Source organism: Homo sapiens, chromosome 1 (genome assembly GCF_000001405.40).
Source record: "Homo sapiens chromosome 1, GRCh38.p14 Primary Assembly".
Classification (NCBI taxonomy): Eukaryota; Metazoa; Chordata; class Mammalia; order Primates; family Hominidae; genus Homo; species Homo sapiens.
Window position 1 is genome coordinate 79065777 of NC_000001.11, and position 18481 is coordinate 79084257.

Consider the following 18481-nt stretch of genomic DNA (forward strand, 5'->3'; position numbering starts at 1 on the left):
TCCTGAGTAGCTGGGACTACAGGTGTGTGCCACCACACCCAGCTAATTTTGTACTTTTAGTAGAGACGGGGTTTCACCATGTTGGCCAGGATGATCTCGATCTCTTGACCTCGTGATCTGCCCACCTCGGCCTCCCAAAGTGCTGGGGTTACAGGTGAGAGCTACTGCGCCTGGCCAAGTCTTGTTTTGTTTTTTTTTTATTTTTTGTTTTTTGTTTTTAAAAAATCCTTTCCCAATATATATGCTAAATTTTAAAAAATATGCTCAGTCCATAATATAAAATTTGAGGATATTTCATTTTTATTTATCATTTAGAAATTTTGGATGATTTATTTCATATGAAGCCATAAAAAGGGAGGAGTTGGGGATCCAGGCACTTTGAGTTGAGTCAGTGACTTGTAAAGCAAAAGTCATCTGAAAAAATACTGTTAATTTTAAAAGGCTTCTAAACCATGCTAATGTTTGTGTTCGTTCTCATAAACAATATCAAAATGTGACAAAATTATATAAGTGATGATAGTTTTTAAAGGTAATGAATAATTTTAATATCATATTCTATTGTTTTCTACAATTGAACTTCAAAAAATTTATTTCTTTTTGAAACATTTATTACTTTAGCTTTACCCATGTGCTCACAGGTGCATTAATCAATGGATGTTATTACTTGTATCCAGGAAGGCAATTCGATCATTTAAGGGTGACTTATTTTACTTGGGGTTAATTTGTAGGCAGCTCTAGAGCTCTGGGACTTTAAGAAGTTAGTGAAGGCAACAAAATGAAAATTAACAGCTTTTGCCCTGTATGGCTGTATTACATGGCAGAAATTGTACAAAGTAGCAATAAAAGTTCACTGCAAACCCTAAGATGTACTTAGCTTGGGGAGTGTCATTGGGCTTTGGGTGTCATTGTCACCACTGGATGCTATTTTTATGTAAACAGATCACAGGAAGTCTGTAAATCCAAAACACATGAGTAAAATAATCTTCCTGGAAGCAATTGTGCATGATTGCCTATGTCTAAAAAAAAATGATGCACTGTCATTTTAAAATGCAAGTGCTTTGCAGACTCCAAGATATGTGTGTGTGTGTGCATACATGCACATATATATATACATATGCACACAGAAATTTGTGTCTCACTTCCACTCTGAGAAGTAAATGGTTCACCTTCCAATATTCCCATTTTACGGTTGAGGATATTGTGGTCCACAAAGGTTAAATGGCTATTAAGTGATGAGGTTAGTTAGTTCTGGCCAAATCACAGATGGACCCACGAGAGTTAGTTGTACCTTCTCAGGCATAGAAATAGGAAGCCTAACATAGAGGCCATTGAAATTATTCAAAATACTATAGGATTAATCAGAACTTGAGCAAAGACTGTACTGCAGAAGACAAAAAATAGTGAAGAGTTAGAAATGACAAGCTTTGGTGGCTGATTGCGTAGGAGTGAAATTAAAAATGAAAATGACTCAGAATTTTAAGTCATTGACACTGATAATAAGAATGTACAATTTTCTAAGGTTAACTTTTACTTTGAGATGAATTCAGACTTAAAAAAGAGTTGTAAAAATAGTATAGAGTTTCCATATTCCCTTTACCTAGGTTGCACTAATTAACATCTTACATAACTATAGTGCAATTATCAAAACTAAGAAGTCTATATTGTTGTGATACTATTAAATTTGTAGTGAACTATAAATTTCACACAGAAATGTAGATGAGATATTCAATTTCACTTATTTGAATAAGTAGCTTTCCATCTCCCATTTTATTTTTGCTTGCATTATAAAACACCATTGCTCACTAGACTCTAGACATGAGACATCGGTGTAGCCAAGATAGAATAACAGAGACCAGGTTTATTCTCCTGCCAGAAAAATCAAAAACTGAGCAAAAACCCAATACTTTTCAAGACACTAGATATCAAGCAATGGAGGGAGTTGAGTTGATCTTTCACCATAATTTTCCACTAACAAAAACCAATTCCGGTATTGCCGGATGCAACAGGCATTATCTTCTTGAAAGACTCCATCATCTTCCTGGAAGAGTCCATTATCTTCCTGGAAGATCCAGGTAGTATAGCTATTCCTTCACCACATAGGGTAAGTTGGGTTTTGTGGTCAGCTGAGCCTCCACTCTTCTCCCAACAGTAATGAGACTTAATAAATAAAGCAGTGCAAATATGGCTGGTCACCACTAGAATTCATTCCTCCCTCTCCTTGTCAGTTAGGGGATGAATCCTCACCTCAACTGGTATCAATAAAACTAAACAAAGAGTTAAAAATAAGTGCTAGTATACACTTTAATTTCTTCCATCTGTAACTTCACTGATATCCAGTTGGGAACAGAATTTCCATATCCACTAGGCAGAAGTGAAAATAAATAAAGTGGTTTGAAGTAGTGTTAGCCACACTCCTGTTTCTGATCATAGCTCCCTAACCCCCCAGCATGGCTTGCAGGTTTAACGGATTGCTGAGCATCCATCCGGGAGGTAGAAAGTAGTGGTGGAGACAAGTCTAGTTAACACTCTGTTTCTACCAGGTCCTTTTTCTTTGGTGCCAGTGGGACCAAATAGGCAACCGAGCTTCTGCCTACCCTGGACCTGCAGCAAAAAACCAATATGGGTTTGAGCTCTTCACTTCCATCCTCTACGAAGCAACACAGCCCTTGGCAAGCTAATCTTACACCTCCACTCAGAAGTGAGGTGTTGTGATACTTTTAAAGGGAAGGTGTCAGCAGGTCAAGAGGGAAGCTAACTGCCATCCCAGCTGTCTGCAGTGAAGCAGCATGAGTCAGTACCTCGTGATTGCAGGAAAGTGTCTATAAGGTATAGTAGGAAGGTGAATATACATACCTAAATGTCCTTAGAGTTACAGCTAAATAGAGGATTGCTTTCTAAAAAAATGGTTAAATAGGATTGAGAGTATCATGTTATAATACCATATAGTTTCAGAGTGCAATTTAAAAATCACTTCTAATTCTAAGAACCAGAAAAATCAAAATGTGAGAAAATATAAGCAATGGATACCAACATCGAGATGAATCATATGTCGATATTATCTGACAAGATATTGAAACAGCTTCAATAAGCAATTACAAATTCTTTTTATACAAGTGAAAAAATTAAAAATCTGCAAATAAATAGGAGTTAGAAGTAGATGGAAATTATAGAACTAAAAGATCTAATAACTGAAAAAAATTACAGAATGGGCTCAATATTAAGATGGAGATGAAAGGACATAAAAACCAATGAACTGGAGAATAGATGAAGATAATTTACCCAAAGTGAAAAACGAAAAAAAAGTACTTAACCAAAAAAAAGTACTTAAAATGATCTGTTGGACAATCCCAAATGGCTAAATTGATATCACTGCAGTCACAAAAGGAGAGAAGAGTACTTGAAGTATTTGAAAAGTATTTTAAGAAATAATGGCTGAAAACTTCCCTAATTTGCACAGAGGCATAAACCTGCAGTTTCAAAAAGCTGAGCCAATTCCAAATAGGATAAACAAACACATCCATGTAAATACGCGTCATAATTAAATTCCTGAAAACTAAGAGCAAAAAAACATATTGAAAGCAGCCATAGGGAAACAACACAGTAATTATGTACTAACACTGATTTGAATTACAGCATATTTCTCATTCGAAATCATGGAAGACCAAAAGAAAGTAAAATATTTTATTAAACACTGAGAGAAGTGAACAATGACAGATTTTATATCCAGCAAAAATATCACTCAGAATTAATGGGAAATAAATACATTCTCAGACAAAGAAAAATTAACAGAATCCATTGCCAGCAAATTTATCCTTAACAAGTGGCTAAAGGAAGTTCTCTAAGCAGAAAACAAACAGAAACAGAAGAAAGCTCGAAACTTCTAAAACGGAAAAAGAATATCAGAATTCATAAAAATAAAGTAAATAATAGATGATCTTCCTTTTCATGAGTTTCTTAAATCATAATTGATGATTGAAGCAAAAATTACAATACCATTTGATGGATGCCCTATGTATGTGGAAGAAATACTTAAGACAACTCTTTTTTTAAAAAGTGGAGAGGGTAAAGAAACACAAATGGGACTAAGATTTCTATACTTTGCTCACTCAAAATGCTAAAACATTGATAAATAATAGAGTACAACAAATTATGTTTGTATATTGTAGTACCTAAAGCAACCACTAAAACAAACTACCTATAAAATGGCATAACAAGGTACTACAAATAAAACAAGATATAATCCTAGAAAATGTTCAGGCTTCCCACAGGGGTCTAAGAAAAAAGAAACAGAAGAACAAGAAACGAAAGAAGCACACAGAAAACAACAGATTGCCCGTAGATGTGACTTGAAAAAGGCAACGGAAGAGATCCTTGTGGTGACAGAATTGTTTTTCATCTTGACTGCATCAATGTCATTATTCTGGTTGTGATATTATTCTATCATTTTTCAAGATGTTACCATTGAGGAAAAATGGGCAAAGGGCACATGAGATCTCTATTATAGCTGCATGTGAATTTGTAGTTATTTCAAAGTAAAAAGTTCAATTAAAAATATACAACCACAGTGCGATACTACCACATCCCTATTAGATTGTTTAAAATGAAAGACTGATCCTACCAACTGCTGGCAATGATTTGGAGTAACTGGAATTCTCATACTGCTGATGAGAATGTAAAATTATGCACTTTGGAAGCAGTATGTTCATTTCCTAAAAATATTTACCCATACACCTGCCACATGATGTAGCCATTCCATACCTAGATGTTTGTCAAGATGTCAAAGCATGTACCCATCCAAACATTTGTTCAAGAATGTTCCAGAAGCTTTGTTTGTAATATCCAGAAACTCAGTACAATCTAGATATTTTTCAATAAGGGAAATGATAAACAAATTTTGGAATATTCATGCAATAGAATACTGCTCAGCACTAAATGATAATGAACTATAGATGAATGCAATTACATAAATTGGTCTCAAAATGATTAAACTGAGTGAATGAATACAGATAACAAAGAGTACATACTGTGTGATTCCATTTATATAAAACTTCAGAAAATGCAACATAATCTATACTGACAAAAAGCAGATTTGTGGTTGCTCAAGAGACTGGGGGGCAGAAGATAAGAGGGAGGGATTATCCACGGCCACTAAGAATCCCTGGTGGTGATGATATTGATGGAAATGTTCACTATCTTGATTGTGGTGATGGTTTCTCAGGGATACATTTATGTAATAACGTATTAGATTATAACTTTAAGAATGTTCAGTTTAATATTTGTTTCAAATTTACCTCAATAAGACAACTTAAAGCAAAAATATCCCTGTAAACCCCTTATTTTGGGTTACTTATGAAAGGCAAACAGATGACATACTATTATCTTCACTGTGCAGATTAGGAAATTGGATTACTGTGTTGTGCAGGGTAAAATTACATATTAACATTTCAAAGTCCACAAGAGATAATCCTCATTTAGGAAACTGGAACCCTTCCTCTTTCTCTCCTCTACACCACAACTTTCACACTCTGTGCTCAATACAATATATCTATTATATTTTTTTAAGAGACATCAATTTTCCACTGTTACCACTTGTCATGCGAAGTACTGGGTAGATTAAATCTAAAAATGTGCTCTGGACCTTTGAAATATTGGATCAAAATAAGCATATGACTTCAGTTTAAGAGCTACATTTTCTTTTCTGACAATTTAAAATATTATGTTACAATGGCTGAACATATAAAACAATTGTTAAATATTTAGAACTACTATGATTTCAAACATTTTGAGAGAGAATACTTATATTTACTTAGAGTCTTTCACATGCTAGGTTTATGCTGGGAACTTTATATATTGTATTTCATTTGACCAACATAGAAATCCGAAGTAGATATTGTTATTTACTATGAAATCTGGAAAGAGACAGATTAAGAAATTCAGTCAAGTTAATGAGGATACAGGGAGATTTCTCTTTTTAATTTTCAAGGGGGCTTTTAAAATCAGAATTTATCTATTCTGTCAATAGATTTCTGTCTTGTCAATAGTTTCCTGTGAATTCTGCATATACATAGACAGTCCACAGCATATATATATATATAAAATATCCAATTTAAATGATATCTGTGTAATCTTTGTAATGATATCTATGAATTTTCTTCATTTAAAAACATTTAATATCCAAACTTATTTAATCACTTATAATGTAGAAAATAAAATAATAGGTTTAATAGTAAATTACAGTGCTTATAAAGACATTGGAAAGACAGGTTAAAATAAAAAAGTCAGGTGTCTTCCTTTCATATTTCAAACATTTAACTTTATAAATCATAAAATTATAGAGGACAAATAGAAAATCATGTAGGTTGATGAAAGTATATCTCTCTAACGTCATCTCATCTAACACGAGGAGTGAGACAGAAAAGAAGAGGATACCAGTTCCTTGAAATCATCACATGATTTCTGTGAAAGAGTGAGAGGTCACGTTTGTTGTCGCTCACAGTCCACAGCTTACTTCTGTGGAGATTCCTTTGAGGTTCCCTTAATGCAGGAAAATGTTACCCAGGTTGGAATATTGTCTTTGTAGTTCTAAATAGCAGGAAGTAACTCAAATCATTTTTGAAGGTTTTAAAGCTTTTATCTCAAAACTCCACAATTTAGAGCTACAGAAAAAAAAAAAAAAAGAAAAAAAAGAAAAAAATAACTTTGGGAGCTGTTGTGTTTTTACAGTTCCCGTAGGCTTCATCATACCATTAGGAAGGTTTTATTACAAATGTTTCATTATGGAACCAAAACAAAACCACAACTCTCAGTTGGTTCTTGTGGTGTCTGGATTTTCTCTCAAATTGAAATTGGAATGAGAATGAAATATTGAATGCCATACAAAATGGCAAACAATGGAAAATTGTATTCTTTCTAAACCAATTTGTATTTTGAAATTTTTTCTAACCAAATCTGATGTCTCCATCTCTGTATTAGTTGACAATACAAATACAATATTAAAATTATATATCTGACTATGGGGCACTGTGGGAGGGCCAACCCTGAAGAATGGAGTAAGAGGTACGAGTGAGTAAAAGAAAGTTTCTTAAAGGAATAGACAGGCGATTCTTAAGGATTAATAGGCATTACCTACATTCCCAAAGGAGGGAAATGTACCCCAAACAAAAGAAGAAAAAAAGGCCAATGAAATTCAAGACATTGGTAAGATATTAGAAATGTGCAGCAGAATTAGAGATTGGAGTGAATGTGAGTGCTGGGGGAGGACAATAGAAAAAGTATGAGACAATATTTTGAAGACATTTAAATATTAATAGTTCATTGAAGGACTTTCAGCAGGAAATTAACTTGGCCAGCTGTGTTTTTAGAAAAAAACAAAGATATTTTTGAGGGGCACATTGGAAGCAAAGAGACCAGACAAGTTCTGAAAATATTTCAAGAAAGAGTGAGTGTTGTAACTAAAATCATGCAGATGGGGAGGAGGAAGAGTTTAAGAAGCAGAATGCATGTGACTTGATGACCCTGGATGAACAGGGGCAGAGAAAAAGGCAGTGTAGAACGATTTCCTAGGTGACTGAATAAATAGACAGATCATCATGGTGGAGATGAAGGCAAATTCTGAAGATTTGGGGAGAGGTTAAGGAGCTAATGTGTGGACATTTAGAATATGGTGTCTGTGTGCGCATAAGAACATGTCTGGTTGGTACTTGTATTAGTCAGAGTTCTCCAGAGAAAAAGAACCAAAGGAATATATAGAGAGACAGATAGATGAGAGGGTATTTATTAGAAGAATTGGCTTATGTGATTACGGAGGCTGAGAGGTCCCATGACAGAGTTGGGGATGCTGATAGTGTGGTTCATTTCAAATCCAAAAGCCTCAGAACTAGGGAAGCAGATGCTGTAACTCAGTCCAAGGCAGCACGCCTGAGAAACCTGGGGAATGGCTGCTGTGAGTCTTGAAGTCCAAAGGCCTGAGAGCCTAAAGTTGTGATGTCCAAGGTCAGGAAAAGGAGGGTGTCCCAGCTCCAGGAGAGAAAGGGAGCAAATTCACCTTTCTTCTGCCTTTTTGTTCTATGCCGGACCCCAGCTGGTTAGATAGTGCTCTCCCACATTGAGGGTGAATCTTCCCCGCTCAGTCCTTGACTCACACACCAATCTCCTCTGGAAATGTCCTCACAGACACACCTTAAAATAATGCTTCACTAGCTATCTAGATATTCCTTAATCCAGTCAAGTTGAACCTAAAGTTGACCATCACAGTACTGAATATAGGGCATGGTATGATAGGAAATGGGATAAAGTGGTGAAAATAAGAAAAACAAAATGGAATAGACATACTCTTACCCTTATGGGTTTTTCTATCTATGGGAAAAGAGTAAACAATTGTAGGAATTGGTTTTAATTAGTGCTATTGTTGCATGGAAGAGGCTGGAAGAATACGTAGTGATAGCTTCTAACAGGTAGATTTAACCTAGTTTGGAGCACAGGGTCTCTTTGCCATGAAAGTTATACTTAATTTGGCCCTGGAGTTGAGTGGAGGTTGGCAAGGTGATTATATGCAGCAGTGGAAGCACAGAAGTAGAAGAACTTTTAACGTATTTGCAAAATAAAGCTGGAGAAGCTAATCAATCTGACCTTAGAGAAAAGTGTACTACATTCTCTGAGCTATAAGATCTATAAATTTTGAGGGATTTTAAATAGAGAGTGACATGATATGGAGGACTAGAGCTCAGAAACATTAAGTCATGGGGATATTGGTAAGATTCAATTTTTAGAAAATATTTCCAAAAGATTAAGGCAAGAGTCTCTTTTTTATGTCAGAAAGTAATATGATGATCTAATTTGTCCTGTTATGTAATGCTATGAGATAATAACATATTTGAAGGGGACTATTAATAATAATATTAATATGAATATTAATAGCAGATATTAATAGTAATGACTTAATATTTATTAAATATTGCAAATCATTTTTGAATCGTTGTCCTGCTATTTAACTGTGACAAGTTAATTGTCTAAATTCTTTCACCTATTTAAGTTTGGCTGTTATTTTTACTTTCAAAGTGGGGATATTAACAGTAACTTTACTGTTAATATATGCTTGCTATGAAGTTACACACTATAAAAGATAAACGGTATTTATATTAGTGACTGCCACACAGGAAGTGCTCAGTAAATGTTACCTATTTTTAGTATTATTAATATACTCATCACCCTCATAGATGTTTACACATTAGACTATTACAATTTTATATCACCTTAATGTAAACTATTTTATTATACCACGTCTTAACTTGAAAGAAGCTAGGAAGCAGAATTGTAGGTATTGGTAAGAATATGGAGAGATATTAATCATTTTCCTCTTGTGCTTGACACAAGGCTTGGCATGTGTAGTCATACACAGCTCATGGTTTAAGTGAAATCCACAGCCAAAGATAAGCCAAGGAGAGCTTACTCATGGCAGGATTACAGCACGGAGACAAGATTATTGACTCCACATTGACACCTGGCTCTCTACAGCAGTGCCCTTAACATTTATTACTGGAAATACTCCTTATTGTTACTGGTAGATAGTATAAAAGGTATGGGTGGATTTCTACTTTAAGTCATAGGGAACAGAAAGGCTTAAGGAGAGGAATACACTAAGTATATCAATATAACCCATCAGCGGCCATATATATATATTTCATATTAATTTATACAAGAATCTCTCAAGGTAAAAATTATCATCTTTCGTAACTACTCCTGATGAATGAGTCTTAGAAAGGATTAAAGACTTCCCCAATATCTCACCACTTGTAATCACAAGACACCAGGTTGCAATCCAGTTTCTAAAGCCTCTTAGTGATGCACACATGTTCCAAGCCCCTTTCATTTCTGATTTTCACTGGTCCCCACCCTCTCTAGGCTCCTTTTCCATAATACATTATCATAAACTTAGTGCTATCTTGATTTCCACATGCTTTTTCTTGCTACCACTATCATAAGAGTATGTGTGTGTGTGTCTGTGTGTATTGGAGGGGGACACATTTTTACTAAATTTCAAAGATTTGCAGTTGTTTCAATAAATATATTAGAGTTATACCACTTTCAAAAGTTCCTCAGCCATTCCTCAACCAGAAACTTGTCACGAAGTTATCATTCACATTGATCCCAAATAGAATTGGGCTCCTTCCTCTTCTTTCTCAGTCTCACCTTCTAGTACCTCCCCTAACGCCAGTTTCCCAAATCCTTCTGACACTGGGGGATTCAGCCTTGGGTTTTTTCTTTTCTTTCCCCCAGAATATTGAAACCATTTCCACAATGTTTTAAAGTTTGATTCCCAAGAAAAATTTGTCTTTTCCTCTTTGAAATATATATATAAAGCATTTAACCAAATCTCTGACACAGAGTAAGAGCCTGATTCTCAGTGGCTTTAAAACTACAGGGAAAAAAAAACAACTTGAGGATATTGACCTCATTTAGGCGAAGGGGATACTCAGAGAATATGGTCAAAGAGTATGTATGTGATGATGGAGGCTATGCATAATTCCAATCTTTCCATCTCTATCTCAACCCTTTTTTTCTCCCATGTAAGAATATGTTAAAACGGTGATAATGACTGTGTTTAAGGGACAAGTTTCAAGTAGCTCTGGCTTATGTTTTAAAAAGTTAATGATGTGGAAAATTGAAGGTAGTGTTTTGTGCACATTTATGAGAGATTCTAAAGCCTGATACTTAAATACTGCTTTGAATTGTAGAGACAATTTTCACATCTTTTTCCATGTGTGAACATTGGTCATTATTTTCTTCAGTTCATGTTAATATTAAGTTTTAAAGGTGATAGAGAAAAGGAACAGGAGAATAGTCTGGCTTCTGGCTAAATGATCACTTCTCCACCTAATGTGGGTCCAGTGGGGATGGAGGGGAGTAGATTGTTGCCATTTTTAAATGAGATAATTTGTAGAAGTGCTTGACATCATCTTTATTTTAGAAAGAGTTTAACAGATGATATTTTGATTCCAATTTTGGAGTGGCTCCTTATTTAAAGAGTAGGGTTAATGCTGTGCTGAGTGTTCACATGGATGTATGAGAAAACTGCTGCTAAACAATAGATTAAAGGTTGGACTCAACATTTTACATTTTTAAAGGGTTGCCAAAGGGAAAGTCTATAAAGTAAGAGCATAACCCCTAAGAACAAAACAAATTTACAATACCTCTTCTAAATCTAGCAGTGCAACACAAGAAGAAAGTGGGGAGAAAGGAAAAGAGAAAGAAGGTAGGGAGAAATAAGTAGTTAGGAAAATCTTTTGAACAGAGTAGTTGAGGGGGCAGTCATCTTTCAGCTGAATCTTTGAACAACGGATAGAAATTGATAGGAAATGGACAACAGAGAAAACAATGATGTTTCAGCAGAAAAGAGTAATAAGAGTGGAGACATGGATACTGGAATTAACATGGATACTCAGGAGGCCAAATGGAGTCAGTATAAGAGAAATGTTAAATAAATGTTTGGATTCACATTTACTTTGTACTCTGTGCCATAAACAATATCTTTTTTTCTCCCCGCAACTCCATAGATAATGTTGAAATACTTCATGCCTTCTGAGATAGTTTTTAGAAGGAATTGTCCAAGAGGAACTAATTGTAGAATGACCTAACTAAATCTTCTAGTTTTCTTTTCTTCAATGGCCCTGCGTAGGTCATGAGTACTTGAGGATTCACTTTTTCTATAAATTCACTATAACCCAACCTTGCCACTTTCAATAGTTTCTTAACACTGACATTGTGGGATGATGACCACTTGTGGAATTCTGGTTGAGAGATAAAATGGCCTTCATAAGCACACTTCAGGTTAATCAGACTTAAGGATATTTAATGTTTCCCTTGATACTGTCTACCAAACAAAGTACATTTATATGCATTCTAGAATGTCTTTCTGTAGCTGAAATAACACCTACATAAAGGTTCTGCTATTAATGAAATATGTAAAAAATATCCCAGAAAATACTAACATTAAAGAGGTATAAAATATAGGCTTTTCTAGTACATCGACCTAGTATGTTCCTGTTACAAGTCTTCCTATTACTTAAACAGCTGAACTGGCAGCTTTAAGACCCTTTAAAAGTTAATAGTGCAATTTCAATGAGACTCTAAAGTCCATATGTGCTTTAATGGATGTTTTAATTACAGTATTTTATACCTGTTTCTATATGTGTCTAGAATTATATGTTTATAACCATCCATATAAGTTACATTATTATAAATTTTTATATTTAACTTTTTGTAACTGAAATAGCATTATGTTTCACTTTTGTTATTTTTCAGGATATCTGTAATGTTTTCAGTTGTACAATATACAATATTTTCACAGGTTTCAGTGCTCACAGAGTTGCCTCAAACTGTGAAAAAAGGAACTTGATAAATCTTTCCAAATAAGACGATCACTTCATTTCTTTCCTTCATGAACTTGTGCTTTCTTTGTAGTGTATTTTGGCTTGAAATAAATTTTTTAAAAAAACCACAGAAATAGATTTTAAAGATGTCCTGGCCATTTTATCTGGGTTTCTCAACAAATACTCATTCAGTATCAACTGCTTATATGCATACCTTATTGACTCTAACTTTAAAAGTTCTTTGATATTATGGATCAATAGTCTATATGTTTTTGAATTTTGTATTTTTACAGAGTTTTAAACAGAAAATATAGTATTAAAAGTTGAATGGTTTGGATTTGTGTCCCCACCCAAATCTCATGTTTAATTGTAATCCTCAGTGTTGGAGAAGGGGCCTGATAGGAGGTGATTGAATCAGCTATCATGAGACTAGCAGATTTCCCCCTTGCTAGTCTCATGATAATGAGTGAGTTCTCATGAGATCTGGTTGTTTAAAAGTGTGTAGCACGTCCCCCTTCTTTTTAATTCCTCTTTCTCTAGCCATGTAAGACATGCCTGCTTCCCCTTTGCCTTCCACCATGATTGTGAGTTTCTTGAGGCCTCCTTAGTCATGCTTCTTGTACAGCCTGTGGAACCACATGCCAATTAAAGCTCTTTTCTTTATAAATTACCCAGTCTCAGTTATTTCTTTATAGCAGTGTGAGAACAGACTGATACAAAAGTATATGGAAAATTTATAAGCAATACCTTGTTGCATTTCTTCCTCCCTCCTTTCCTCTTTTCCTTTATTACTCTTTCTTCTTTTATTTTATCCAGCCTCCATTCCTTTTCTTTCCTTCTTAGCTTAAAATAACAGTTAATAAAATTGACCCTTTATTCTTTAGATTTTGTTTGTTTATCTACATACATAGAGGTTAAATCAAGCTACTTAGTGGCCGAATATCTGATTCAATCTTCAGAAAATTTGAACCTTACTATCACCATATAATAATAGATAGAAGAATAGAGTATTAGTGTTAAGGCCTGTAAAATAAAATGTATATTTTAAAAAGATAGGCTCAGTCAATAAATTCTGATCAGGATTTTCATTATCAAAGATATTTAATAAGTAATGATCTGAAGTGAATATAATGATAGGCATTGTGCACTGGGAAAGCTCCAGCACAAAAACTTTTTCAAGTATTTTAACTACATATAAGTAAATACTCTAAGCACACTTTGTCAAATACTGCATTATGAAATTGTATGAAATATAAAATATGTATGAAATATAAAATATAGGGTAAAATATATCTTTTTAGTCACATATATCAAGGGCTAGAAAGAATCTCCATTTAGAGAGAAACCAGAAAGTGAGATGATGGAGATAATGGGGAGAATAGAACATGTTCATTAGATGTTGAAGGTAAATACTTGACATACTTTTGGAACCTGATTTGTAGAGTGTGAAACAGTAAAAACATAAAAATTTGTTTAAGTTATGCCAACTTGGAATCTGAAAGTCAAGATTTAAATCCTGTTATGACTGAAACCAGATCTGTATTTGGTTGAGTATATCATTCTCTAAGAGATTTTTTTTTTAAAAAAAGAACAACTCAAACTTATAGCAATAAAAATGATAATAGTTCTAATTCTTCAGAAAGCATCTGGCTCTGGGCTCTATTTCCTGAGAAGTTATGTAACTGTTGTATAATACATCAGTATGCCAAGGCAGAGAAGGCAGAGGAGAGTGCTGGAAAATGGAGAAGGTGCTGATTTAAGCTTTATCAGCTTCTAAGGATTGTTTGGCCTGCTGTTCTGGTTCCTTCCTCAGGAAGCCAAGATTTGCATGGCTGCTTCTGGATGAGTCATCAGTTTGGGCTCACTAAGCTCAGCTGTGGCCTGGTAGGGAAGGATCCTATGTCAGGAAATCTGGGATATTTACTGACACTCATGCATGTCTGTAGCTAGTAAGCACAACTGATTTGAATCTACATGAAATGAGGCTGAGGTCAGGGGTTTGATCTCTGTTGGGCCAGTTGGCTTTTTTTGACATAGTGATCACAGACTGTATCTCACCCTGACCAGCCAAGTGTCTTGCACATATGAGCTACTCATGAGAGAATGGACAAGTTCCTATGTATGTACTAACCTCAAAAAAAATTCCTTCTCTTAGAAAAACAACTCAAGCATATTGTCGTCACTTATTAGCACCAACTTCATTTATTAGGTGAATTTGATTGTTAGAAAATTCAATGGATTTTTGAGATGGATTTCTGGTTTGCAATGAAATAAATATTCTTCAAATAATGTTGTTAATAATACTTTATTCACATAGACTCTCCTTTAAATTAAATAAAATTAGAGTATTAAAATGACAAAATATTAGCCTTCAAAATTATAGGTGACCATTAGGAATAGTTTAGACACCTTGCAGAATTCTAATGCTGGTGAAGTTCCATTACTGAAATATACTAAAAAATATATATTTATCTCAGGTGAGCTTATGTAGTGTATACATGTTGTGTAAATAATGCTTGTATTTTGCTTTGGGAAACCACCTCTTCCTCACTCTTAATCCATGTAGGATGACCTCACTTTTGAGACCTAGAAGTAACCTCAGTATTCATGCCTTGGTACTGAAATTTAACTAGTGACATTTTTGGTAACTATTGTACAAGAGAGATTTTCCTCTGCCTTGATGAATTAGGTAGGAAGATGAAAGTTGGGCACTGTTAGGGTCATTAGAAGGAAAGGACCTAACTGAAAATAAGGCTAACCTGGAGAAAAACAAGGGCATGGGATGCAGGTGGGGTTGGGTGGTGGTGGTAGACAAAAAACCAAAACAAAAAACAGAGTCTTCATGACATTTTTGATACAACCATATGTGAAGGTAAACTTTGGGACTTCAGAGATTTATAAAGTCAATAAATCCCACTTCCTTTCTGGGGGCTTTGAATCAATGTTATTGTATTTCTACAACTTGCAAATGTAAAATTCCTGGCTAATAGAAATAAGAAATTTTATTTACTCGAACACGTTTTTGAACACCTAATTTGAGCTTCTGACTTATCACTTAGCTATATTTTAATAGAATCTGATAGAATATTTTTCCATTATATATACATATGAAATGTAAATTTTCATATCATCTCTGATGTAACATATAAAATGAAGTGCCTTTTCAGAAAAAAATGACAAAATTTGCAGTCATTTAAATAGGACAAAAATGAACATCTGCAAGCAATGATAACATGCAGATTAATGTTTCTTCCTATTCTCACAACAATAGTAATGTCACATTATAGTTTCAAAGATCTAAAATCCTAATAAAGGCAAAAAGTGTTTTAAAATTAAAATGCAGAGTTGCCAAAAATATTTAAATAATGTGGCTGGAGTGCTGGATTTTTTTAAAAATATCCTATCTTGTAACATTTAATCTCATGTCAGCCAAGCTTAAATGAAGGCATTAAAGCTCAATTCAGTCAAGCACATGGGATGTTACATTTGTTGTAAACATATTACGTATCATAACTAGTACTTTCATATTCTATTGATTTTCACTATGTTGCATGACTAGATAGGTTATTTCATACAGATAGAGTTCACACTATGGAAAATGACATTTCTATTTTAAAAATAGATCATTTGATGCCCTTTGCCTATTGGTGTTTTACAGTCATGCCATATCAACATTATCTGTACATTATAATGAATCGATAATGTTGAAGGCATCAGAATGAAATATCAGAATGAATTTGAACATGAACAGGAAATAGTAGTATTTTTAGTGAGGCATTAACAACCAAAAAACTGTTAGGAAAGAGAAAGCTTCAATTCTAGTCTCTCTTTCCTTTTTAAACTGCATTTCTAAAATGTATCAGATTTATTATGAAAACTATAGAAAAAAAGCTTGAGAGATGAAATGCAGTACAAAAGGGTGAATGGCTAGAATAAAAGTCAGAATTGAGTACACCTTTGATATCACCTTTTACATTTTTATTCTTTCTTCAACCTCTCCTCCTATGTGTGAGAACTCTTAATGGAGAATAAAGTGATATCTGTTTTTTCTCTTTCTTCCATCTTTTATATTATGGCATTCTATCACATTCCCCTTCAAACTTTCCCTGTCAACCTGAATAGTTACTAATGCAGAAGGTTCTTTTATGTGGCTGCTGGTAGGAGGAGCGGTGTCATAATTCAGACGTTATGCTTTCCTTTGGGTCAGTGCACAACTTTCTTGCCTATCTAACAAACACATGACAACTCTACATCAGAAGGATCAAGATCAAACCCATACAACCTAAATGAATAGATTTCCTTTTTCTCTTACAAAAGAGGAAATACCACTTCCCCACCCCTTCCTCTGAAAATGCATGACCTGCTTCTGATGTCCTGGAATTTAGAAAGTTGGAAGGTGGAACAGATAGCTCATCTATCAGGCCATGGTGTTTTATGTACCTAAATTAACATGCTTCTTGACCTCCCTGATTACCCTTAAGAGAAGATTTAAATCCATTTCCTCAGGGCTCAAATCAGGTGAGTTTTGTCTAGAATAAGTCCCAAAGCCCCACTTGACAAAAAGGAAATTGTTCATACACAATATAAAGAAAAAACAAAACAAAAATCTTAAGAAACAGAACAAACTTTTGTCCAATTACTAAGGCAGAAATAGTGTGAATGTGCGTGTGAGGGTGTGTGTGTTAGTCTCGGCTCCTTTTTATCTTTTGATGGATAGATGATACTTGCCTAGGACAAATACTCATGCTGGTATTTCAAAAATATCTCCTCAATAACTACATATATTGACAACTACTTGGTTCATGTTGTTTAAACGGGGTAATCATTAGTTTAAACAAGAACTCTACTTATCATGTTGGGTTTTGCTTTTCCCTGCATAAACTGTGTTTCATGATCGGATGAGTATGACTGTAAGAATGACAGACCATTACTTCATGTTAAAAAGTCTTCTCACTCCTTCAAACGAAGTCATTTCAATCACAATAATAAAAACTAAACTACTTTAAAAGCAAGTTGATGAAAAAAAGGCAGATGTCTCTAACATACAGTTTGAAAAATTTAAACCAATTTGGAATTGGACAATCTGAAGTTGACTCCTAGTTTCCCATCTATAGGATGTTGAGATGTGTGAGGTTCTTCATTTCTAAAAAGGAGAAAATAAAACGATGTGTATTCAAGGAGGTAGAGTTGGTAAAACCCATGGCATGAATTAAATGCATACACAAAATGTTAGTTTTAATTCCAACCTAATTTGCAAATATTTTCAAGTTCTGCAGGCCAGATACAAAGTCTGGCAGTGGGTGATGGACAGGTGAGAAGTTGAATGCTGTTTTGACACAGTAGTAACTTTGCCTGCTCTTTCTTTTCTAAGTGAAGAGAAGAATTTGTTCTTTACCCTCTCCTCTCTCTACCTTTGTCCCTGCTTCGACCTCATTTATTCCATACTCAGCTCTATAAACTTATTTTCCAAATCAAGATTACAGTTTTCTCCAACTCTTTAAACCAACTCCATGAGTATCATATCAAATCTTGTCATCTGAAATACAGAAATAGGAACTCCCCGTTTTCTCTACCCAGAGTAGTTCCTCTTGACATCTATGTTTCTGTTAATGGCCATACCTTTCACACTATTCTCCCTGTTAGACAGTTATAAGAAGTGAGAGGAATGTGATGCAGCATTTTTTTTAATTTTAGATTTAGGGAATATGTGTACAGGTTTTTTACATGGGTATATTGCATAGCGCTGGGGTGATGAAGTATTTAAGAACAAGTTTTATGGAGTAAGGCTGCCCAGGTCTAACCCACTTTTGTCATTGGAATAACAGAGTATCTCAAAACTTAACTTCATATTGCTATTGAATGGATTAAATTCTCTGTGTGCAGTCCTTAGGGGAGTGCCTGTCACATAGTAATCACTGTAAAACGTAGTATATATTGCACTAAATATGTTTATCTGTCATTTTATAAGTACACACTAAATATTTGCACCAGGATGAAATTAGACTCTCCTATAACCTGTATCTCTACCTTTCTGTTCAAAATAGAATAATCATCTTAAAATATCTAATAATCTTCCTAACTAGATAGAAGCTTTTCTTCTTTTATTCCTAAAA

At 34.4% G+C, this 18481-nt stretch overlaps 1 annotated feature.

Annotated features, from left to right (window-relative positions):
• Nucleotides 9886-17673: an enhancer, noted in NCBI's record as "VISTA enhancer hs1989". NCBI's record gives its function as "enhancer in: limb[3/3]" and the evidence as "EXISTENCE:transgenic organism evidence [ECO:0001131][PMID:17130149]".